The 24,929-nt window shown below is 40.7% G+C and overlaps 1 long non-coding RNA gene and 1 pseudogene across 1 annotated transcript in view, besides 1 other annotated feature; both read right to left on the bottom strand.

The window, feature by feature from the left end:
• Positions 910-1,110: a silencer, noted in NCBI's record as "peak1043 fragment used in MPRA reporter construct". NCBI's record gives its function as "represses an SCP1 promoter by STARR-seq MPRAs in K562 erythroleukemia cells {active_cell/tissue: K562}" and the evidence as "EXISTENCE:reporter gene assay evidence [ECO:0000049][PMID:32103011]".
• The window catches only part of AGAP11 (ArfGAP with GTPase domain, ankyrin repeat and PH domain 11), a 39,891-nt gene continuing 18,143 nt past the window's right edge, over positions 3,182-24,929 (bottom strand). The window contains exons 3-11 of the long non-coding RNA NR_171046.1: positions 20,939-21,161; positions 19,856-20,046; positions 18,505-18,584; positions 13,817-13,959; positions 12,974-13,089; positions 11,672-11,772; positions 9,048-9,083; positions 5,702-5,753; positions 3,182-5,053 (exon numbers count right to left, since the gene is read on the bottom strand). This is a non-coding gene — a long non-coding RNA (ArfGAP with GTPase domain, ankyrin repeat and PH domain 11). The remainder of the gene's footprint in view (positions 5,054-5,701; positions 5,754-9,047; positions 9,084-11,671; positions 11,773-12,973; positions 13,090-13,816; positions 13,960-18,504; positions 18,585-19,855; positions 20,047-20,938; positions 21,162-24,929) is intronic.
• BMS1P3 (BMS1 pseudogene 3) lies at positions 12,973-21,163 on the bottom strand (annotated as a pseudogene).

Here is a 24,929-nt window from a genome sequence, read left to right as displayed (position 1 = left end):
GTCCTGTGCTGAGCAGGTCTATATAAACCTACCCGCAAAGACCAAGGAACCTGAGATACCAAAGAAAGAGGCTGACAAATCCAGTTTCTCAGAAAGAAACATTTAATAGGCGTTTATGAACAGAAGCCAAGTCAGGGATGACACCAAGATAAGATGGTGGATCCCTGTGCCATTACCCCCACCCCCCCGACCCAGGGCTTCTATAGCATAGGGGAAGGGTAATGCGGGCTTCGGCAGGGATGTGTATGGCCAGACACGGTGGCTCACGCCTGCAATCCCAGCTCTTTGGGAGGCCAAGGTGGGCGGATCACCTGAGGTCAGGAGTTCCAGACCAGCCTGGCCAACACGGTAAAACCTCGTCTCTACTAAAAATACAAAAATTAGCCAGGCGTGGTGGCAGGCGCCTGTAATCCCAGTTACTCGGGAAGCTGAGGCAGGAGAATCGCTTGAACCCAGGAGGTGAAGTTTGCAGTGAGCTGAGATTGTGCCACTGCAGTCCAACCTGGGAGACAGAGTGAGACTCAGTCTCAAAAAATAAAAAATAAAAAATAATTTTTTAAAAAGATAAAATAGAAATCGTAGATGAATTCTTGGAACTGGGATTAATCAGAATATGGCAGATTAGCCTCCAAGATGGAATTGCTTTATTCTCATTCAAGGTTTCCCTCATTCTCCACTCTCCCCATGCTGGTCACCTTGCTGCTTGTTCCTCAAACACATATGAAATGCGTTTCTGTCTTGGCAGTCATCCTGCTACCTGTAATGTCAGCACTGCTTTCTGTTGTCCCTTCAGTCAGGTCACTGTTCAAATAGCTCTCTAGACAGGCTCTTCCTTATCATTCTACTTAAAATAGCCCCCAATCACTCTGTGTCCCTTTAGCCTGCTTCCTCTTCCTGCTATTTCATACTACCTGAAAAAATACTTGAACTTCCTAGAACATAAGCTCATAAAAGCAAGAACTGTGCTCCACCTCTCCTCCCCTCTACCCCAGCACTCAGAAGAGCAACAGGGTCAGCATCCAGTGAGTGTTCATGAATCAAGTCACTGCTTGGCAGAATTCAGCACTGGGACCACAGCCTCGCCTATCTTCAACTCTTTCTCCTTCTGCTTTTCCTCCTCCCACTCTAGTAGCCACTCTTCTGGGGACTTGTGCCTTAAATGATTAGTCCTTACCGACCTATTTTCTGTCCACTTTATCTGTTTTTGAGAGAGGGTCTCACTCTGTTGCCCAGGCTGGAGTGCAGTGGCATGAATATGGGTCACTGCAGCCTCCACCTCCTGGGCTCAAGTGATCTTCCTGCCTCAGCCTGCCATGCCACGTAACTGGGGCCACAGGCATGTGCCACCATGTCCAGCTAATTTCTTGATTTTTTTTTTGGTAGAAATGGGTCTCGCTTTATTGCCCAGTCTGGTCTTGAACTCCTACACTCAAGCAGTCCTCTCAACTTGGCCTCCCAAAGTGCTGGGATTACAGGCATGAGATACTGTACCTGGTCTTATTTTTTCTTTTCTTAAGATACAGGGTCTCACCATCTGGCCCAGGCTGGACTCAAACTGCTGAGCTCAAGCAATTCCCCCACCTCAGCCTCCGAAGTAGCTAGGACTAAAGGCATGAAACCACCATGCTTGGCTTGTCCAATTTCATTCTACACACTTTCTCGGTATTTAAACAGCTGCTGTTGCTCTTCATTCTGTAGCTCTACATCAGATTCATGCTCTAGTCCTGTATATCCAAATGATGACTAGAGGCTGCCGGCTCTGCTCTTTCAAAGCCACAATGAGTGTAGCCCGTCTACAAAACTCTCCCTTTTCCAATCCAGCTTTCCCTCCTGCATCACCTATCTCTCTACATCTGGAACCATCGGCAGCTGCCTTCATAAGGCACCTCGGTCTGGCATTTGGAAAACCACCCTGTCTTGCCAGAGCTGCTTGGTCTTGGGTAGCAAAAGCTGTATGCAATCTAAATCAAGCTTTCAATCATGAGAAATCACATTCCTTCTTTTCCCCTTGTAATATACTCGTGTGTTTTTTTTTTTCCTTTCTCAATAAGCAAATTGTACCACCATCTTATTCTGAGATGCTCCTTTTTAAAAGCTGTAGATCACATTAATGGGAGTGTTTACTGCTGGAAATATTTTCCATGTGCAATGATCTGTAACCCTCCTTTTCTTTTCTTTTTTTTTTGAGACCGAGTCTCGCTCTGTTGCCCAGGCTGGAGTGCAGTGGCACAATCTCTGCTCACTGCAAGCTTTGCCTCCTGAGTTCATGCCATTCTCCTGCCTCAGCCTCCCAAGTAGCTGGGACTACAGGTGCCTGCCACCATGCCCAGCTAATTTTTTTTTTTTTTTTGAGATGGAGTCTCGCTTGATCGCCCAGGCTGGAGTGCAGTGCTGCAATCTCAGCTCATTGCAAGCTCCGCCTCCTGGGTTCACGCCATTCTCCTGCCTCAGCCTCCCGAATAGCTGGGACTATAGGTGCCTGCCACCACACCTGGCTAATTTTTTTTTTTTGTATTTTTAGTAGAGACGGGGTTTCACCATGTTAGCCAGGATGGTCTTGATCTCCTGACCTCGTGATCTGCCTGCCTCGGCCTCCCAATGTGCTGGGATTACAGGTGTGAGCCACCACGCCCGGCCATGCCCAGCTAATTTTTTGTATTTTTTAGTAGAGATGGGGTTTCATGATGTTAGCCAGGATGGTCTCGATCTCCTGACCTGGTGATCAGTCCGCCTAGGCCTCCCAAAGTGCTAGGATTACAGGTGTGAGCCACTGCGCCCAGATCTGTAACCCTCTTATCTCAACTAGCTGACATTATTAGTTCACATCCAGTTCAATTTATAAATTAAGAGAGGTGCCATGGGCCGGGCACGGTGGCTCACGCCTGTAATCCCAGCACTTTGGGAGGCTGAGGCAGGTGGATCACGAGGTCAGGAGTTCGAGACCATCCTGGCTAACATGGTGAAACCACGTCTCTACTAAAAATACAAAACAATTAGCCAGGTGTGGTGGCAGGCACCTGTAGTCCCAGCTACCTGAGAGGCTGAGGCAGGAGAATGGTGTGAATCTGGGAGGCAGAGCTTGCAGTGAGCAGATATCATGCCACTGCACTCCAGCTGGGGCGACAGAGCAAAACATCGTCCAAAAAAAATAAAAATAAAAATGAAAAAGAGGTGCCATATGTACAAAAATCAATGCATATTTATGAACTTTTTTTCAAATATATTTTCACACATCTTATCTAAATACATAATACAGAAGCCTGTGTGACTTGGGCAATGTGGCCAGGAGGGCCTGAGACTAACACACCCACCTCGGCAAAAGGACATAAAATATGTCTTATGGTCAGAAAAATCAACATTTTGTGTATTTACTTAGTTTACGAAAAGTACTGAAAATGCTATTATTAGCTGAATTTGTGATTTCCTTTTGAAATTCTGAGTTATCCTTATTTTTCCCATTTTGTTTTTACACCAAGGAGACTGCAGTCAAATAAAACAGATACTACACGCACTCGTCGGGGCAGCCGTACTGCAGAAGCACGTTGATGCACTCCTGGCTGGAGGCCTGCCGGGCGTAGGTCAGCGCTGTGTTCCCGTGGGCATCTCGGGCCATGACGTCCACCCCGTACCAGATCAGGAGCTGCGCCAGGACCACATTCCCCTTGCGGCAGGCCAGATGGAGCGCCGTGCAGCCGTCTCCCTCCCCACAGGTCTCGTTCACCTCCTCACGGGAGCCATGTGCCAGCAGCAGGATGGCTGTCCGCAGGTCCTCATCAGCGGTGGCCCGCAGCAGGTGCTGGCCCAGGGACAGCTCAGTGCAGGGTAGTGGGGCCAGAAAGAGCTTATGCTCATATTTGGAACGGATCCACCGTTCCTTCTCTTCCCTCGTTGACTCTATTGAGGGTTTCGTCTGCCCCTGGCTGCTCCCTTCCCAGATGCTGTTGGCTAGGTCATTGCCAATAGATGACATAACCTTCCTGAGCTCAACTGGCCAGTCATCCAGCTCCAGAGATCGCACACGGGAAAGGCGGGTGCCAAGACTGCGGTGGATTCCTGAACATTCAATACACATGAGGACTCCCAAGTTCAAACTGGCCCACTTAGGATTCTGGGTCTCACAGTCCACGCAGTGGGAGTTCCCACGCATGTTTTGGATCGACTGCAGGGCCATGGCCTCACTCTGGCTGGTCAGCTGGGACTTGCTTTTACTGCTCTCGCATGACTGCAGGCTGGCCAGGATCTGGCTCTGGATGGCTTGGACCCAGGCATCCCGCTCCTCATACGTCGTGGCTTTAAAGTGGCACGTTTGGCCAGTGACGGACACAATCATAAACTTTTCTTCTTCTTCCTCAGCAGTGCTGGACAGGCCATCATCTTTTAAGTTGTTGGTGCTTTTCTTCTTTAGGTGTTTCTTTTTATTGGCATGAGGGGAGGGGGGCAGGTTGAGCTTGGGGCTGGTGGTGCTGGAGATACTGGGGCTGAAGCATATGGAGTCACCCAGCCCGATGTCTGAATTGGCTGACATATGCAGAGCTTCCATGTCCTTGGATAGGCCATTGCTTTTAGAGCTGGAGATGGGTGCGCAGGCCGATGTGGCTAGGGATGGCCACTTTCCTGGGACTTTGATGGTAGATGTCCGAAGGTCAATCTCTTTTTTATGAATATTCTTCATATAATCACCTAAGCTTGAATAATAGGTGAGCACGCCATTGGAACACAGGGTGACATATTTCTTTTTCCATGTCTTCAGCCATTTCCCACTTCGCTTTAAGAGCATGCCCTGTTTAATGGGGATGGCTCTGCCGCTCCCGATGGTGTCAGCGTGACTCTCCAGGGCTTTCCTCCCTTTGTCTGGGTCACTCCCTTTCTCAGATGTAAACAGGTTGGACCAGCCCATGGACTGCTTGCAAATGGGCGTGGGTGTGTTGGCAGTGGGAGGAACACTGAAATAAAGGTCCTCCTGGCTGGTGCTGGGAGTCAATGGAATGGAGGAGGAATAGTTATTTAAACTCCCACCTCCATTTCTTTTCTTCGTAATGTGCACGGTGGAAAACTGTGTGGAACAGAAGAAGAATGGCTTCAAAAATTGGGTAGTGGCTTGCAGGGTCCTATAGACAGCTCACAATTACCTTTTAAAAAGATACATTTTCTGGGCCAGGCATGGTGGCTCACACCTGTAATCCCAGCACTTTGGGAGGCCAAGGTGGGTGGATCACGAGGTCAGGAGTTCAAGACCATCCTGGCCAACATGGTGAAACCCTGTCTTTACTAAAAAAAAAAAAAAAGAAAGAAAAAAGAAAAAAAAATTAGCTGGGCATGGTGGCACATGCCTGTAATTCCAGTTACTCGGGAGGCTGAGGCAGGAGAATTGCTTGAACAGGGACCTGGGAGGCAGAGCCTGCAGTGAGCCAAGATCGCACGATTGCACTCCAGCCTGGGCTACAGAAAGAGAGTCCATCAAAAAAAAAAAAAAAAAAAAGATACATTTTCTGTTGTTTGGATAGTATATTTACTCATACTAGCTCACTAACTAAACAGAGCCGCAGATCAGTTCTTACTCCAGCACATTCTTTTTACAACACTTAAGATGACTAAATGCAACATGAAATGGGGAAGATTTAAAAAAAGATGGCTTTGACTTCAGCATGAAACAGATACAAGTGTACGATGAAAATACAACCTCAATAAAAGTGCCACTTACCGCAAATGAGTATAACTGTTCATCAAGTATGGTCAAAGATCTATCTGCATCTCTAAAAAATAAGAAAGCGCATTACTTCAAAAACTGTTAATATCTTAGTATAATATTTGTTTAGTAAAATACTGCCTCCTGTGTGCTTTGGTGTTTACTTTACCAAAGCAGTTTTTACGAATTCTTCTCCTGGATCCTGACTTGCAGAGGGTTTCCTGACTTCTTCTTTCTCAGCACATCATGGCCTGTACCGTGAAGTCTTTTATATGATAACCAGTCAGAAATGCCCATGAGTATTGACTCTCCCTAACAGGCCATGGCAATAAGCCAAATATATTTTCACTCTTCTAACCACACATTGAAACACAAGAATGTTCTACAAAGCAGTAGTAGTAAACTTTAATAAATGTAAATGTGATTCAGATTTCCTAGCTTCCTTTCTCTTTAGTTCTCTGTAGTATACTCTCATGATGTATTTATGTATTTTCTGTTGTTTGAATGACAAACTCATCTGCCTTTTTAAGAGGCCAGTCTTTGATGAACTTTAAACTTTGTAAAACTAATGCATTGTGTCTGTGTATAAACCAGTGGTTCTCCAAATGTGCTCTGTGGACCTCTCAGGATCCTGAAGACCCCTTCCAGAAGGCCTAAGAGCTCATAACTGTTCTTTTTTTTAAAAAAAAAAAACAAGTTTTATTCTTGTTGCCCAGACTGGAGTGCAATGGTGTGATCTTGGCTCACAGCAACCTTCACCTCCCAGGTTCAAGTGATTCTCCTACCCCAGCCTCCCAAGTAGCAGGGATTACAGGCACCTGCCACCACTCCTGGCTAATTTTTGTATTTTTAGTAGAGATGTGGTTTCACCATGTTGGCCAGGCTGGTCTTGAACTCCTAACCTCAGGTGATCCGCTTGCCTCGGCCTCCCAAAGTGCTGGGATTACAGGCCTGAGCCACTGTGCCTGGCCAACACTGTTCTGAATCATACTAATTAAACCTGAGAAAGCTGATGAAAAATTTTAAAAATTTGTGAAAGTAATACAAAGTCATTGCCTGCTTTTTTATTGACACTTGCCATGATTGTATAAAAGCAAAAGTGGGTACAATGGCTGGTTTCTCAGCATAAATCAAGGCAGTGGTACCAATTACATTAGTAGTCTTTCTATTCTTCACTGTCCCCTACAGGTAAAAAACATAGCCTGAATTTCTTAAGAATGTCTTTGATGAAGCAGTAAAAATTAATGTTGTTAAATCTTGACATGTCTCTAATATTCTGAATAAGTGGAAAGTTAACGAGAAGCGCTTTTTTTTTTGTTTTTAAAGAATCCATGATTTAACTGTGAACTGAAAAATCACTTTTTTCACAGAACATCATTTTTATTTAAAAGTACAACTGGGCCAGTGCAGTGGCTCATGCCTGTAAAATCCCAGCACTTTGAGAGGCCAAAGCAGGCAGATGGCTTGAGCTCCTTCAGGAGTTCGAGACCAGCCTAGGCAACATAACGAAACCCTGTCTCTATCAAACATATAAGAAAATTAGCCTGGTGTGGTGCCACACACCGGTGGTCCCAGCTACACAGGAGCCTGAGGTGAGAGGATTGCTTGAGCTGAGATCATGCCAATGCACTCCAGCCAAGTGACAGAGTGAAACTTGGTCTAAAAAACCAGTTCAACTATCATTCTCAAAAATAAATGAAGTGAGAGGTTGTCACTTCAAGGGAAATACGTATTTGTTCCCAATGATAAAATTTAAGCTTTCCTGTGGACTTTGAAAAACTTCTTCCTTCTACTGTAGGCTTGGCAGCTTTTCAATACTTAAAGGCGTGTTAAACTAAGATTGGTGGTTAAACTAAAAGTGATTTTTGACACAATAAAACATAAACCAATATATTCCAAGTAACTAATGCATGATATTATAAATGCAAGTATGGAGCAAAAGATCCATTTACTGTGCAAGAAAGATCAATGAGTACTGATGGAATAAATTTATTAATATGTAAAATGCCACCGTAACTAATTTAAGAAACCACCACTTGTGAAGTTTTGATTTAGTGTTAACAAATACCCACAACTGTCTGAAAACTTTAAAAATACACCTTCTACCAACTACATATTTGCATGAGGTTAGGTCATCTTATTGCTTCTTTTTTTCTTTTTTTGAGACACAGTCTCTCTCTGTCACCCAGGCTGCGGTGCAATGGCGAGATCTCGGCTCACTGCAACCTCCACCTCCCAGGCTCAAGCGATTCTCCTGCCTCAGCCTCCCAAGTAACTGGGACTACAGGCGTGCACCACCATGCCCAGCCATTTTTTGTACTTTCAGTAGAGGCTGGTTTTACCATGTTGGTCGGGCTGGTCTCAAACTCCTGACCTCAAGTGATCCACCCACCTCAGCCTCCCAAAATGCTGGGATTACAGGTGTGAACCACTGCGCCCCACCAGCTTATTGCTTTTTTTGTTTGTTTGTTTAGACAGAGTCTTGCTCTGTCACCCAGGCTGCAGTGCAATGGCACGATCTCAGCTCTCTGCAACCTCCGCCTCCCAAGTTCAAGTGGTTCTCCTAACTCAGCCTCCAGAATAGGTGGGACTACAGGTGCGTGTCACCACGCCCAGCTAAGTTTTTGTATTTTTAGTAGAGACGGGGTTTCGCCGTGTTAGCCAGGATGGTCTCGATCTCCTGACCTTGTGATCCACCCGCCTCAGCCTCCCAAAGTGCTGGGATTACAGGCATGAGCCACCGTGCCCAGCCTCTTATTGCTTCTTTAAAGCAAATTGCAAATAAAGCTCTAGAGAATCCATTTGTCTCCTATTAAGCTCAACATGAGAGACTTTAAATAATATAAATACATGACACACTTTTTACTCAACTTTTTGTTGTAGAAAAGTTATTTTTCAATGAAAAATTTCTGTTAACAATACTGTTCTCAAGGAATATTTTCTGTTGTTATAACCTGGGTCATGGGTTACTACTGACATCTAGTTGGTAGAGGCCATGAATACTGCTAAACTCTCTGCAATGCACAAGACAGTCCTCACAACAAAGCATTATCTAGCACATAATATCAACAGTGGTAAGGCTGTGAAATCTAAACTAAAAATAGATTTTGAAAAACTTTCAAATGTATAATTCTACCACACTAAATATCAATATAATCAATATAAACACATACTCTTTGAGATTCTCAATCATTTAAGAATTATGAGAGTCTTAAGGAACAAAGAAAATACAAATAATTTGCTTCGATATTTTAGTAGACACAATACAGCTTATGATGTCTAGAGCTGTGACCTAACACTGAGCTTGATATCTTGCAAAGTAATTAGCTAGAATAACAAGACAGGTTTCTAAAAAGCTCACCTTTCCGTGATATGATGATGTATCTCCAAGGTCACACTGTGGAAGGAAAAAAAATTCATAACAATAGATGTTATCATTTGTTAGGCCTGAAGACATTTTTTAAAAGGGGGGCAGAGGAAACTCTCCTAGCGGCCCTGAAATTCAAATCTTCTAGTTCAGAACAGTACCATAAGCGCACTTTGTTTTCATTTCTTTGTTTTTTACAAAAATATGAGAACCAAAATGCAAGGAAAATGCTGTTAGAAGATGCGTTTCTGTTGGTGATTACAATATATAAATAATAACAGATTTCCCTGTTATATGCTTTTCTACCCACGAAACCTTTCGTCCCATGCGATTTATTTTATGTATTTATTTATTTTTTGACCCAGAGTCTGTCTCTCTTGCTCAGACTGGACTGCAGTGATGCCATCTTGACTCCTCACAACCTCCACCACACAGGTTCAAGCGATTCTCATGCCTCAGCCTCCCAAGAAGCTGGGACTACAAGTTTGCGCCACTATGTCCAGATAATTTTTTTTTTTGGCGGGGGGGTGTGGATGGAGTTTCGCTCTTGTTGCCCAGGCTGGAGTGCAATGGTGTGATCTCGGCTCACCACAACCTCTGCCTCCCGGGTTCAAGAGATTCTCCTGCCTCAGCCTCCCAAGTGGCTGGGATTACAGGCATGTGCCACCACGCCCAGCTAATTTTGTAGAGTGAGGCTCAAAACAACTGAGGGAAGGCAAATCTCAATTCTACTAATAGGTCTACACAATATTAGCACTTTTTAAAAAGCCTGTAACATTAGCATGTAAGATGGATATGTCTATAGTGCTTCAAGTAGTTTTCATCTCTGAAATAATTTTAAAATCACAGAATTTAAAGTTACATGCTGGAAAGGACCAGTGACCTTATGTGACATTTAATTCAACACTCGTTTTACAGATCAGGGAAACAAACCTTAAAACTGACTTGCCCAAGGTCCCACCAAATAGGAGCAGTTTCTCGTCCTAAACTCAAATTAAGCAGTGGCTCTCAAACTTCGCTGCACATTAAAATCGCCTGAGAAGCTTTAATATCTGCCTCATCTTCAACATGAGACATTTTAATTTAATTAGTATTGGGTATGGCTTTGGGCATCAAGGTTCTTGGTAAACGTTTCCCAGGTGATTTCAATCAGCAGCAAAGTTTGGAATGATTGAGCTGTGGTGAAAATCAGAATCTTCTGGGATGCTTTTCTTCACAGAAAGATGCCTCACATCCATCCTGATTTTCCTAAAAGGCTTCTCAGTGCCTAGAGATAGAGGGAAAGTGGAGATGGGAAGATACATGTGTTTGCAGACTTGTATTTTGAAAAAACCTTGCATAAGTGATCTCAGTGAGTTCCACCTATCCCACTGACAACAGTGCACTACTGATTCATGATAAAACATTTTTCAAAATATCTTCTTGAAGCCAATTTGCCCTATTAATTTGTTCAATAACTTTATTTCACCAATAGTGAATACACCAAATGATTATTTCTCAAACTCGCTGGTGGCAAATTAAAACTTACTATACTCTCAAAAGTAGACTTCTAAAAAGTAGAATAATTAGGAAAAAAGCACGAAATTTGTTTCAGCAAAATTAATCTTCAAAGCTGCTTTTGAATTATGTGCTAACATATCAAAATCTTTGGAACTCAGAAGAAGCCAGGGACTCTAGTCAAAGTAATTTTTGTGTATGTGTGCTCAAAGATTTAAGAGACTTGGCTGACTACAGACATTTAGTGATTACTCAATAGGTCCCAAAGCTCAGGACTTGAGACAGAGTTTGAGTCCAGTTTTTGTTCGAAACACAATTTCCTCTCAACTATTGTTAAAAGGGAGGGAGGAAAGTGACATTATTATGAGTGTAAACTTGCCACTTTTAATTGAAGTAAAAGTTATTGACAATTGAATTAGCTAAAAAGGCTAGTGCATTTGAAACAAAATTGTTTATAAGCTAGTTATGTTTACAGAATGAAAAGTTAAATTAGAGATAAAGACATTAATATTCTAAATTAGCACTTTCCAAACTGTGTTCTAAAAATCAAGACTAATAACCCAAGGAGATGAGAATAATGTACACTGGACAGCCCCTGTGGAGCTGGTGGTGGTGTTGGTTATTGTTCCTTTTAAAATAAACTTCATCTCAGGGTGCTCTCAAAGCACATCTTTGTGGCCCATGAGGTGCTCATGCACAATGGGAGAAATTCAAATGCAGATACACTGTGGTGCCAGAAGAAGAAAAGCTGTTCCTTCTCCCAAGGATAATGTCCAAAGTAGTGCACACTGATTTAGGCCTATGATGCACTGAAAAACTAAGTTTTCACAAAAAACATTCAATAAAGGGAACCTATCCTTCTCACTGTGTTCAACATTGTCTAAAGGCATAAAGGCATCAAACAGATACACTGTTTCTGGGATTGCTTCTTTGCTAACTGATTTTTCCTTCCACCACGACGTCTAAGATTAAAAGAGAAACTGATACTTAATATTGAGAATCTGGATATCAATATATGGTTGACTCCAATTTCTCAAACTGATTGCTGAAGAGGACAACCAAATGGCTGAAATAATTTTAGAATAAAGGAATCTGTTCCTCGGCAGTATAGTTGTACTCACGATATTATTGTCATTATAAGATAATGCTGGCTGGCTGTGCTGCCATCAAGGAATATTGTCGAACACGAGCTGTATTGTTGACTGAAACGCTCAGTAGATACCTGAAGGGGAAGGGAAGTGTAAGTCAAACTTATCAAAGTATATTTTTTTCTCAGTTAAAATGTCAAATGACAAAGCACTAAGATATGTCTTACACTCCATGAACTGCCTGAGTGTGGTATCATGTGCACTCTATAGAAAACCCATTGGAGGCTCTCAACTTCCAGAGATGATGTTTAAGATATGGGTTATAAAATGCTGCCCTTAATATGGTACCTGTCATCAAACCTAACAAGGATTTTATGAATTACCGTTAAAAATAATGGGAAAAGTCAGCTTCGCCGGGCGTGGTGGCTCACACCTGTAATCCTAGCACTTTGGGAGGTGGAGGCGGGCGGATCACGAGGTCAGGAGATCGAGACCATCCTGGTTAACATGGTGAAACCCCATCTCTACTAAAAATACAAAAAATTAGCCGGGCGTGGTAGCAGGCCCCTGTAGTCCCAGTTACTCGGGAGGCTGAAACAGGAGAATGGGGTGAACCCAGGAGGCGGAGCTTGCAGTGAGCCGAGTTCGCGCCACTGCACTCCAGGCCGGGAGACAAAGTGAGACTCTGTCTCAAAAAAAAAAAAAAAAAAAGAAAAGTTTAAAATAAGATTTCATTTTTTTTTCTACAGCTATAAAAAGCAGCCGAGAATTTCTATTATTTAATTAATTAATTTATTTATTTTTGGGGAACATCACACACCAGCGCCTGTCGTGGGGTGGGGGAGTGGGGAGGGATAGCACTGGGAGATATATTTAATGTAAATCTCGAGTTGACAGGTGCAGCACACCAACACGGCACATGTATACATATGTAACAAACCTGCACATTGTGCACATGTACCCTAGAACTTAAAGTATAATAATAAAAAAAAGAAAGAAACATCCAAATGCATGCTTTGTAAAGAGCATGACTCATGGGGTCAGTCACCAATAACAAAACAAAAAAAAAACGATGCACAGTCCAAGGGCTTAACCCATGACCATAAAGAAGAGTATTGTGCCACACTGGAACAGTGCTCCTCTAGCTATAAGACAAAAGGTCAGAGAAGAGGGGATTCAATAACACCTTTACAGGCCTACACATAGCTGGCTTACTTTTAAAACCTCCACCAAAGCCATCTTCCCTTGTTTGGTCATTTTTCAGTTTTCCTGAGAAAAGAAGCCATCCCAAGAATCCTATGTGTGATTCTAGTATGTTCTACAACAAGAGAATACCTGGCATGTGAATTTGGCTTTTATTTTTCAAGTGTGCTCCTCTTAAATAACCATAAAGTGACACCTGCCAGTCACATTTTGTTCAGATATCCTCTGGGTTTTTCAAATCTTCCATCCTAGAAAAATAAACTCAATCATACAGCAGAAATGAATGCCAAAGTTCCTATACGTCCTTTCATGTGTCAATGACTCATCACACTCTTGTCCACTAAGCATGTCGTTTAGAAAACTAGAAAATACAGAAATAAGGAAGCACCATTCACCACCCACCAGAGGAAAAGGGGCAGGCACACAACTGTGTCTCTAGGCTGAAAGTGACATTCATTCCGTAAGACACCAGACAGGGAGATGACGTCCACCTGGGGTCAGGGAAGAGTGAAGAACATATTCAGAAAATCCCTTTCTGGAAGAGGGTGAGCCTGTGCTCTGGGATTTGTACTGTGGCTTGGATTCTGGCAGGTGGAAAAAGGGTATTCCAGGCTGAGAAAACCACAGCACAAAGAAGAGCACAAAGGAAGGAAACTGAAGGCACACATAAAGGACTCAAGCACCCGGGCACGAAGGCAGCATCACTGAAAACTGAGGCTGAACATAGGATGGGGCCATATCCTGTAGCTTTAAATGCTTCCAAGTCCTCCCATTTTCCTAAACATCTCATAATTAATTTACTCCCAAAGGCACAGCATCTTTGAGCAATGATATAAGTAGACATTTTCCATCAACTACACTTCTACCCCCACTATTCAAATAGGCACAAAATAAATCCTATCACTGTTCTTTTTCTAGCCTTTTTAGCTTTGAAATATATGGTCTAGGAAATAAAAGCTTACAATCACTTTTTACCTGTCTGCCAGGATATAAGGATGAGACGTCTGCCATGTGAGAGGCCTAAACTTCATAACTGTAATAAAATGGCCCAGATTGTGGATTTCTTGGTCTTGATATTCTCCATGCACCATTCCAGAAAGGTAGAACAGCTTGGCAACCTAAACATTAAAGGAAAATTAAAAATTAAATTTCAATTAAATTCTCGTCAATACTGCAACAAAATAAAAGCTCTAAACAAGAAGCAATCCTAAGAAGGGAGACTTCCAGCAAAGCCACTGTCCTGAGGCTTCCAGAGCCTTGCTGGCTTCTTTTAGGACTTATTAGAACCACACAGAGGCAGACTGCTCTGCAGCCGAGCAGGGGCATCCATCTAAGTATGGTGAGGAGAGGGAGGTGAGGCCTCTGAGCACAGAAACGGTTCTGTGGCCGATGGACCACAGCAGTATGGAAAGGAAGGGGCAGTGCCTCGTCCTGTAACTGGGAGAAACTTCTGATGTACTCTATTAAGTCCCGACCCCAAAACAGCCAGACACTGCCTGGTGCAGCAGGTACAGAGACAAATGAGATACACTAAGAGGCCCAGAATAACCACTCTCTTGAGGGAAACTTTCCAGAGACTGGGAAAACATACACAAAGGGAATTCAGGAGGCAAATCCTAGAGAGACGTTTAGTAATGTCTCTTCAGTTTTTTGTTTGTTTGTTTTTTGAGACGGAGTCTCACTCTGTCACCCAGGCTGGAGTGCAGTGGCACAATCTCAGCTCCCTGCACCCTCTGCCTCGCAGGTTCAAGTAATTCTCACATCTCAGCCTCCAGAGTAGCTGGGATTACATGCACCGCCACCACACCCGACTAATTTTTGCATTTTTAGTATAGACGGGGTTTGGCCATATTGCCCTGAGCTCGAAACTCCTGGCCTCAAGTGATCTGCCCACCTCTGCTTCCCAAAGTGCTGGGATTACGGGCATGTGCCACTGTGCCTGGCCTCTTTAGTCTGTTTTTAAAGGATTATACTGTTAGTATCTAACAATTATTTCTCTTCCTACCAGGTAAACTTCTGTCCAGAACCTGTGTTTTAATTGCTTGTCTTCTTCAGTTGCCTATTATACTTGAAGGAGTCGAGGTGAGTGAGAACTCCCATAATTTTAGGAAAGCCACGTACTTGACCGATGTTGAGAAACTCAAAGGTTTCCATTTCGAACCCAAAGCTGGCATCTATAAGCATCAGTACTTAAAAGCAGGACACATCATTTCTCGAAGAAACTACCAAAACAGACCACCTACACTAGGGGTTGGCAACTGGCCCACGGGCCAAATCCAGCCCATCGCCTGTGTTTGTAACTCAAGTTTTATTGGAACATAGCCACATTAATTCATTTACATATCATCTATGGCTGCCTGTGCACTACAACTGCAGAGCTAAGTAGCTGCAGAAGATATGATCCACAAAACCAACAATATTCACTACCTGGCCCTCAACAGAAAAGTCCCACTCCAGACTAAATCAAATGACTACACAGGCATCACCCAGAGAAACCACCACCCTCTGACTTGCTCTAAAAGGCAACCATAAGACAAGGCCACTAGGATATAAACATCCATTGTAAGAATTCTAATGCATGAGAAGTAACTCAGAAAAGGCTGGGTCTAACCTGGCCCTTACCTAAGAAACCCTAATTTAAAGAAATGAAGTTTTCTGTAAGGTATTTTTAAGCCAAATAATAGGTCTCTGACATCCAAAGAATGGGAAGAAAGTGATAATCAATGAAATATATTAAATATGTACAGAAAATCAACCTCTTGTTTCAATCTCCTCATAGAAAAAAAAAACCAATCTGTTTTTTGCTGGCAAGTATGTGGTGTACACCTCTATCTTATATGGTAATTTGCATAACTCAGTAGCTCAGAATTTTATTTTAAATAGCTACCGGTTTAGAATTAAGTCAAAAAACAGTAAGATTATGATGAATGGTACTCTATAAGAAAATATAAGCAGATAAGACCAATTTTTGTAATTTAAGACACTTCAAAGATGCAAAATAATTTCAGAATTGATTCCTGGAAACTTCTAGGTTTAATATTAAAGACATTTCTGTTCCTATCTTTCCATAGATAACTAAAAATAACAAAAAATGGAAACAGAAATGCCCACCTTTGATTAAACTAGGAAACATCCATAATCCGAAACCACAGAATATATGGTCAGCTTGTAAGAAAGCACAGCTGCCACTGCGGACCAAGGCAGCAAGCAGAGCTTTCCAGCAACACTGGACCAGCTCAAAGAACAGGTAGAATGTCCTCACACCACATCTGATGCCACAGAGTGCCAAGGGACAAGCAGCTGGTTGTAGGGTCAGGAAGAACAGGGAGCAAACAGTCCCTCAGCTGCCAATCTTTGTCATCGAAGCCAGTGTTACTCCCATAATCCACACATGTACACACATACACACCCAAATCCACATATTGTCTGTGCTTTTGCTGTACTCAGGAGGCTTTGACAACCCAGAGCAGAGCAATCAACATAAGCTAGGCTAAATAAATTATGGTGCGTCCACAGAATGGAATATTATATTAAAAAGAAGGAGGCAGAGCTACAGTACTTACTGATTATATACCTTCAAGATATATTACACGAAAAAAGCAAAGCATAGAACAGTGTGTAAAATAAGCTACCATTTGTGTTTTTAAACGGTGGCATGTGGGTTTATATGTATCTAGGAGGATACTGCTCTGCAGGGATCTGAGAGACCAGTGGTTAGAGCAAGGAATAAGAAAACGCACATCGTGTGTATCCTGCATTAGCTAGAGTGCTTTACTAAATGTGTGTGCTCCTTTTGAAAATCTTAAAAAGATTTACATAGGCATCTCTCTCAATGATGGTTAAGAGGCTGGGAAGGGGAGCAGGGAGGGAGGGACAAAGAGGGAAAGGTTAACAGGTACAAAAATACAGTTAGAATAAATTCTAGTGTCCAACAGCACACTAGGGTGACTATAATTTATTATATAATTCAGAATAACTAAAAGAATGAAATTGAAATGTTCCTAAAACAAGGAAATGATCAATGTTTGAAGTGATGGATATCCTAATTACCCTGATTTGATGATCACACACATAAAATATAAATATGTATAACTATTATGTATCCATAATAATTAAAAATAAAAAAGTAAAGGCATCTCTTAACATGTATGTCTTTAAAATTAGAAACTTGCTACACTTTAAATAAAAGAGAAACAAATGACTTCTATGAACTATTTCAAGTACACAAGATTTATACACAACTTTATATTAATAATAACACTTATTTTTACTAATAGCATTATAGATTCAAAATTTGAGGTTATCTAGTTTTCTGACATTACAATGGCACAACTTTAAAATCTGTATTACTTTTCACTTTATATTTTATGGGTCTTCCTGGGCCAAAGTATAAAAACTGTAGCTCTAGAAAAAACTAGATAAAAGACCAGGCGCGGTGGCTCAGGCCTGTAATCCCAGCACATTGGGAGGCTGAGGCAGGCGGATCACCTGAGGTCAGGAGTTCAAGACCAGCCTGGCCAACATGGTGAAACCCCGTCTCCAATAAAAACAAAACAAAACGAAAAATATATAAAAATGAAAAAAATAAGGTATCTGTCACCCCACACTTCCTAATCAATAAGGCTTATTTTTTTTGCTTTTTTTTTTTTTTTTTTGATGGAGTTTTGCTCTTGTTGCCCAGGCTGGAGTGCAATAGCGGAATCTCGGCTCACCACAATCTCTGCCTCCCAGGTTCAAGCAATTCTCCTGCCTCAGCCTCCTAAGTAGCTGGGATTACAGGCATGCGCCACCTCGCCTGGCTAATTTTGTATTTTTAGTAGAGACAGGGTTTCTCCATGTTGGTCAGGCTGGTCTCGAACTCCTGACCTCAGGTGATCCGCCACTTCAGTCTGCTAAAGTGCTGGGATTACAGCTGTGAGCCACAGTGCCCGGACTTTCTTTTTTTTTTTTTTGCCAATTTGTATTTTATTTTTGCTAATTTAAAAAATAGTTAATAGAATATCAGAAATACTGAACATTATCATTTCCATAAATGCAAGAGTGTATACATTTTCCACACACTGAGTACTAGCTAGATTTTCTATGATAAACTCTGACCACTTCTTCAGGCAATTCATGTACTTACTTCAGCATTATCATTAATGATGAAGGTTCTAGAACCATCATGAACAAGGGTCCCATCTTCACACAAGTTACTTAACTGCTGGGAGGCTCTATTTCATCTTATGTAAACTACAGATAATACCTACTCACCTCAAGGGTATATCAAGAGTTTATGTAAGCTAAGTTTGTAGAAAGTAGTTAGCACAGTGCCAGGAAGGGTCCAAGAAGAAATGGTACTTACTATGAAATATTTGTACGTATATATGTATGCATGTTAATGAGCTCTTATTAGCTGTGTTCATTAAAGGTTTTCTCTATCCTGTGATTTGCTTTTAGATTTTGGAATACATTTCATTGTGCACATTCCATTTGTATTATTAATATAACAATATTTATTACTATTATTATCATCATCAATTCAATCACATCTACTGTATCCCTGATGATGACCATGATTCCTTTAATAATCATAAAACTCTCTTCCCTTCATCACGGGGTAAATAACCTATCACAATGCTGTAAGTCTCCATCAGCACCCCAGGCTGCCCCTGCTGACTTACCAGATCTGCTACTTCAGCCAGATCAATCATCATGTTAATGTCACACCCACATTCAATAATGGTGAGTCGGAGCTTTTTACCTGTAAGTGAAAAAGATAAAAATTTTACTTTAAAAAGACCCTGAAAACACTCTAAGCATCAACTTTAACTTTCATTTTTTAACTGCATCCAGTAAAACACCATATACGTTTATAGGAGTGTACCAGAAGTTCATTTTTATAGGCAAAAACTGGTAAAATAAAATAAATTCCATCCTGTTTTTCTTGCTGTGTCCTAAATTTAAATAATATCAAAAGTCTACCCAGATGAATACAAGTGCAAAAACAGAGAAAACTCTGACTGGACAGGCTCCATGATAACCATGATCCTGCTATTCAGCTACAGGCCAATGTCTTCGCCTCTATCAAAACTTCCCATATTCCCACTATAGCTAAAAACATCCTCAAACATTATGCAACAGAATATTCATAACAATAATTATTTCTAAATTAAGGTAAAAAGAAAACAGTCAAGAAAATATGGGCTGGGCACAGTGGCTCATGCCTGTAGTCCCAGCACCTTGGGAGGCCAAGGCAGACAGATCCCTTGAGCCTAGGAGTTTTGAGACCACCCTGTGCCACATGGGGAAACCCCATCTCTACAAAAAAAAAAAAAGAAAGAAAAAAAAAGAAAAATTAGCCAGGTATGGTGGCATACATTACTCAGGAGGCTAAAGTAGGAGGATTGCTTAAGCCTGGGAAGTTGAGGCTGCAGTGAACTGTAATCACGCCACTGCATTCCAGCCTGTGCCACAGAATAAGACCCTGTCTCAAAAAAAGGAAAAGAAAATATGGATGCTCCAAAGATAAAGAAAAGCCTCAATCCAACTATATTATTGCAATAACAAGAGGTTTCAGAGTGTACATTGCCATTCTACCACTGGAAGTTTGTTTCATCTTCTCTCAAACTTGGAAAGGTCGCCATCTCCCAAAGCAGACAAATTCTCACAGGAAAAAGAGAAAACGCGCACTTCCACCAGCATGTGGCTTCATAAGGGCAAGCATGTGCACCTGGCACATAGGAGGTACATGCTATTTGTTAAATGATATGTTCACAGTGACCAGGCCTGCTACGCCCTTCCAAGCAACATGCTTGGCAAAGCCATACAGCAGTCAGGATAAGATATGTATCACATCCTTATCTCTGGGAACTTACCCTTTTCTGAAGTTATAGCTAACTTAGTAAAAGTATAAGAGAGTTAACATGATATGACAAAATTTAACATGTTCCACTCAAGAAAACAGAAAACACATGCATCTCCCTCAGATGACAACAGCCAGGCCAACTCTGTGGCTGTGGTGGCATCTCCTACCTGACACGATCATCACAGGGCCTCTGATCTCGGTCAACTTCTGCTGGGTGAAGTTCCCAATGAGGCATTATATCAAAGTGCTCTTTCCAACTTTTGGAGGCCCCGTCACCACTATCACTATTGGTGGCGGCTCTAGTGGAGTCTGATCAACCACTGGAATATGATGCTTTTTTGTCTTCAAATCCTGAGTCCTATTCATTAAAAAAAAAAGTAAACTCATTTTCAAAATAGAGTAAAAGGTATCAACCTTATAAGTAGACTTTTTTTAGTTTACTTATAGATATGAGTACTTTAGTATATTTTATAGAGAGTACAACAGACAATATAAAAATATAATTAACCTGTCAATTATTAATTTGTTAACTACTGGCCCCCATCCAAATAACTGCTGTTCAATAAAGATGTAGCAAGATGACTTCAATAGTATAAAGAGTTGAAAATTAAACACTCCTTAAATCTGACTGTTTTATGAGTGATTTTAATAGTTTTTTTAAAAACAAAAGGTAAATACCGAGGCAGTGCATCGTAACAGATAAGATCAGAGGCTCTGGAGTTAAATTTGGCTCTCCTACTTACTGGCTTTATGATTGGAGGTAACTTGTTTTCTTGACCTCAGTTTTCTTATCCATAAAATGAAGGCAAGAATGATTCCTACTCTGGTAAGGCTGCTGGAAGTATTTAGTTGAATAATGTTTAAAGTACACTGCTAGGCATATCACAAGGACTCACTAAAGCTATGTTAGCATTACAAATTGTAATTTTTGTATTTTATATTACAACTTTGTAAAACATATCTGGAGGGAAAAAGCACACTTATCACCATAGAAACAGTTTAAAGTTTAGGAAGAAACAAATTCCATAAATTCTTGTATCTTGGGCAAGAAACACCAACCAGTGTGCAGATGCTGGAGGCAAGACAGCTTCTATGGGAAGTCTTCTCATGTTTTAGTAAAAGCCACACATCATGCATCTCCATGTCCTTTGGAGTGTGACTAAACTTGTGAATCCAAATGTCACCTGTGAGATGCTCCTACTATTTAAAAAGAATCAATGGAAGAAGCATCAGACTGCAGCTATACATACCTGTGAAAGGATCAAGCCATCCCCACAGCAGACTGAATTGCAAAAGCTTTGGGATTTCTCTTCCAGACATCTTCTTCATCCCCTAGCTGGAGATCCTGCAGATGCTGCTTCTTTTTCTTTTCAGCTTTGGGCCCACTGTTTTTCTTCTGTAAAATTTCTTTCTGTGTTTCTTTTGGTCCTTAGTCTCCACAGTGGCTATTTACCAATAACAAGTAACTCTAACCTACAAGGAAGAAGGTTGGGGTAAGAAGGTGGGAGAAGCATTTTACAATCCAGCCAATACCCAAGGAAAAACAGTATATTTCATATATTTCATTATGAAGAGATGATGTATATGTTGATTCTTTGAGATTTTCTGCATAGACAATCATGCCATCTGTGAGCAAAGACAGTTTTATTTGTTCCTTTCTCATCTATATTTTTCCTTTCTTACCTTTTATTTTATTTTCTTATCACATTTGCTAGAACTTCCAGTATATTAAATAGGAGTGGTGAGGGTGACATTCTTGCCTTGTTTTAAATCTTAGGGGAAAGGCGTCTAGCTTCTCACCATGAAGTATTATGTTAGCTGCAGGGTTGCTGTTGTAGCTATTCTTTATCAAGTTAAGGAAATTCCCCTCTATTCCAAGTTTGCTGAGAGTTTTCATCATGAATGGGTGTTGGATATCACATACTTTTTCTTTATTTATTGATATGACCACGTGATTTTTCTTCTTTGATATGATGGATTACATTTATTGATTTTCAAATGTTGAACTAGCTTCACATACCTGGAATAAATCTCTCTTGTGATTTATAATTCTTTTTATATAATATTTCATTCAATTTGCCTATATATACACGTGTATATATATATATATACACACGTATATATATATATACACGTGTATATATATACACACGTATATATATATATACACGTGTATATATATACACACGTATATATATATACACGTGTATATATATACACACGTATATATATATACACGTGTATATATATACACACACGTATATATACACACGTATATATACACACATATATATACATATATATACATATACACGTATATATATATATATATATATGTGTGTGTGTGTATATATATATATTTTTTGAGATGGAGTCTTGCTCTGTCACCCAGGCTAGAGTGCAGTGGTGTGATCTTGGCTCGCTGCGACCTCTGCCTCCCGGATTCAAGTGATTCTCCTGCCTCAGCCTCTCAAGTAGCTGGGATTACAGGCACCCGCCACTGCGCTTGGCTAATTTTTGTATTTTTAGTAGAGACAGGGTTTCACCATCTTGGCCAGGCTGGTCTTGAACTCCTGACCTCAGGTGATCCACCCGCCTCAGCCTCCCAAAGTGCTGGGATTACAGGCATGAGCCACCACACCTAGCTATCAATTTGCCAATATTTTGTTGAGAATTTTGCTTCTCTGTTTATAAGAGATATTAGTCTATGGTTTTCCTTTCTTGTAATGTTTTTATCTGCTTTTGGTATTAGGGTTATGCTAGCCTTATAGAATGCATTAGAGAGTGTTCCTTCTACTTTTATGTTCTGAAAGAGATTGCAGAAAGTTGGTTCCATCTCTTCCTTAAATGATGAAATTCACCAGTGAAACCATCTGGGCCAAGTGCTTTCTGTTTTGGAAGATTATCAGTTTTTGATTTATTTAATAGGTACAGGTTTACTTAGATTACCTCCTTCTGTTTCTGTTCTCCTAACAGAACCCTGTGAAACCTGAAGAAATTACAGCACAAGGTACCTGTAAGGCACATGAGGTAACTGTGAGGTACAGGGAAGGTGGAAGACTGGGCAGTCAATGCAAAGGCAAGGGTAGGAAAATGCTTTTGAAAATAACATGAGATGATACAGAAACTTCACTATGAAGGACAGAAGATCAAGTTGACAGTCCATTTGAGGAGCACTCCACCTTTAAGAACCCTCCCTCATCCTATGCAGCCAGACAACGAAACCTTCCACTAGCAGAAACAAATGGAAGGTTTATCTTTTAGAGAAATTAAACCACAGTAGCCCTGAGCCCAGGGACACTGGGCTCACAGGCACACATACGGATAGGCTACAGTATCCTCCCCAAACAGGGTTTTAAAGTGAGTTCTACATACACTGACAGGCACAATTATCAAGCCTCTGCTTCCATTCAGCTTCCATAACAGTTGCAGTCAAATGTGTGGCCCTTAGCAGAAAACTAAGTCATTTTCATGAGAAGAAAGCTGACCAGCTCACCAAAAAGACTCACGAAAACCTAAAAGAAATAGATAAATTCCTAGATACACACAACCTACCAAGATTGAAACACGAAAAGCTTCAAAACCTGAACCGACCAATAACAAATAACGGGATCAAAGCCTTAATAAAAAGTACCAACAAAGAAAATCCTAAAAACAATAGCTTCACTGCTGTATTTTACCGAATATTTACAGAAGAACTAATACCAATCCGACTCAAACTATTCCAAAAAATAGAGGAGGGAGGAGTATTTCGATGGCTGATACTTAAACCAAAGACACATTAAAAAAGAAAACTACAGGCCAATATCCCTAAGGAAAACTGATGCAAAAATCCTCAAGAAAATTTACAAGCAAAACAAATTCCACAACATATTAAAAAATTATTCATAATGACCAAGTGGAATTTATCCCAGGAATAGAAGGATGGTTCAACATATGCAAATCAAGGTGATCATATCAACAGAATGAAGGACAAAAATTATATAATCATGTCAACTGATGCTGTAAAAGCATTTGATAAAATTCAACATTTTATTGTGAAAATGCTTAAAAAACAGGGTATAGAAGAAGCACACCTCAACACAATAAAACCCATATAAGACACACCCATTAAGTAGTATCTTACTGAATGGGAAAAAAAACGAAAGCCTTTCCTCTAAGATCTAGAACAAGAGATGCCCACTTTCACCACTGTTAATTCAGTATTAATTGAGCTTTTTCTGGAAGTACTGGAAGTCGTAGCTAGAGCAATCAGACAAGAGAAGGAAATAAAACGCATCCAAATTGGAAATAAATCAAATTATAATTATTTGCAGACAATCTCTTATAATTAGAAACACCTAAAGACTCCAAAAAACTATTAGAACTGATAAACAAATTCAAGAAATTTGCAGGATACGTAATCAACATAAAAAAATCAGTATCGTTTTTATATGTGAACATCAAACATTTTGAAAAAAGCTAAGAAAGCAATCCCATTTACAATAGCTACAAATAAAATGAGGAATAAACTTAATCAAAGAAATGAATGATTGCTACAATGAAAACTATAAAATACTGATGCAAGAAATTGAAGAGGGCACCAAAAATGGAAAGATATTCCACCTTCATGGACTGGAGGAATCAATATTGTTGAAATGTCAATATAACTCAAAGAAAGCTACAGGTTAAATGCAACCCCTATCAAAATATCAATGACATTCTTCACAAAAATAGAATAATTCTAAAATCTATATGGAACCACAAAAAGTCCAGAATAGCCAAAGCTATCCTGAGCATAGAGAAATAAACTGGAAGGATCAGATTACCTGACTTCAAATTATACCATAGACCTATAGTAACCCAAACGACATGCTACTGGCATAAAAACAGACACAGAGGCCAATGAAACACAATAAAGAATCCAAAAGAAATCCATCCATCTACAGTGAGCTCATTTTCAATAAAGGTGCCAAGAACATAAATTGGAGAAAGGACAATCTCTTCTATAAATAGTGCTGCAAAAACAGGATATCCATATGCAGAGGAATGAAACAAGACTCCTATCTCTCATCATATATAAAAACCAAACCAAAACAAATTAAAGACTTAAATCTGAGACCTCAAACTATGAAACTACTACAAGAAAACATTGGGGAAATTCTCCAGGACATTAAACTGGGAAAAGATTTCTTAAGCAATACCCTACAAGCACAGACAACCAAAGCAAAAGTGGACAAACGGGATCCCATTAAGTTAAAA

The sequence above is a fragment of the Homo sapiens genome, chromosome 10, assembly GCF_000001405.40.
Source record: "Homo sapiens chromosome 10, GRCh38.p14 Primary Assembly".
Taxonomy (NCBI): domain Eukaryota; kingdom Metazoa; phylum Chordata; class Mammalia; order Primates; family Hominidae; genus Homo; species Homo sapiens.
The sequence above is the reverse complement of the archived record's forward strand: the minus strand, read 5'-3'. Positions and strand labels throughout refer to the sequence as shown.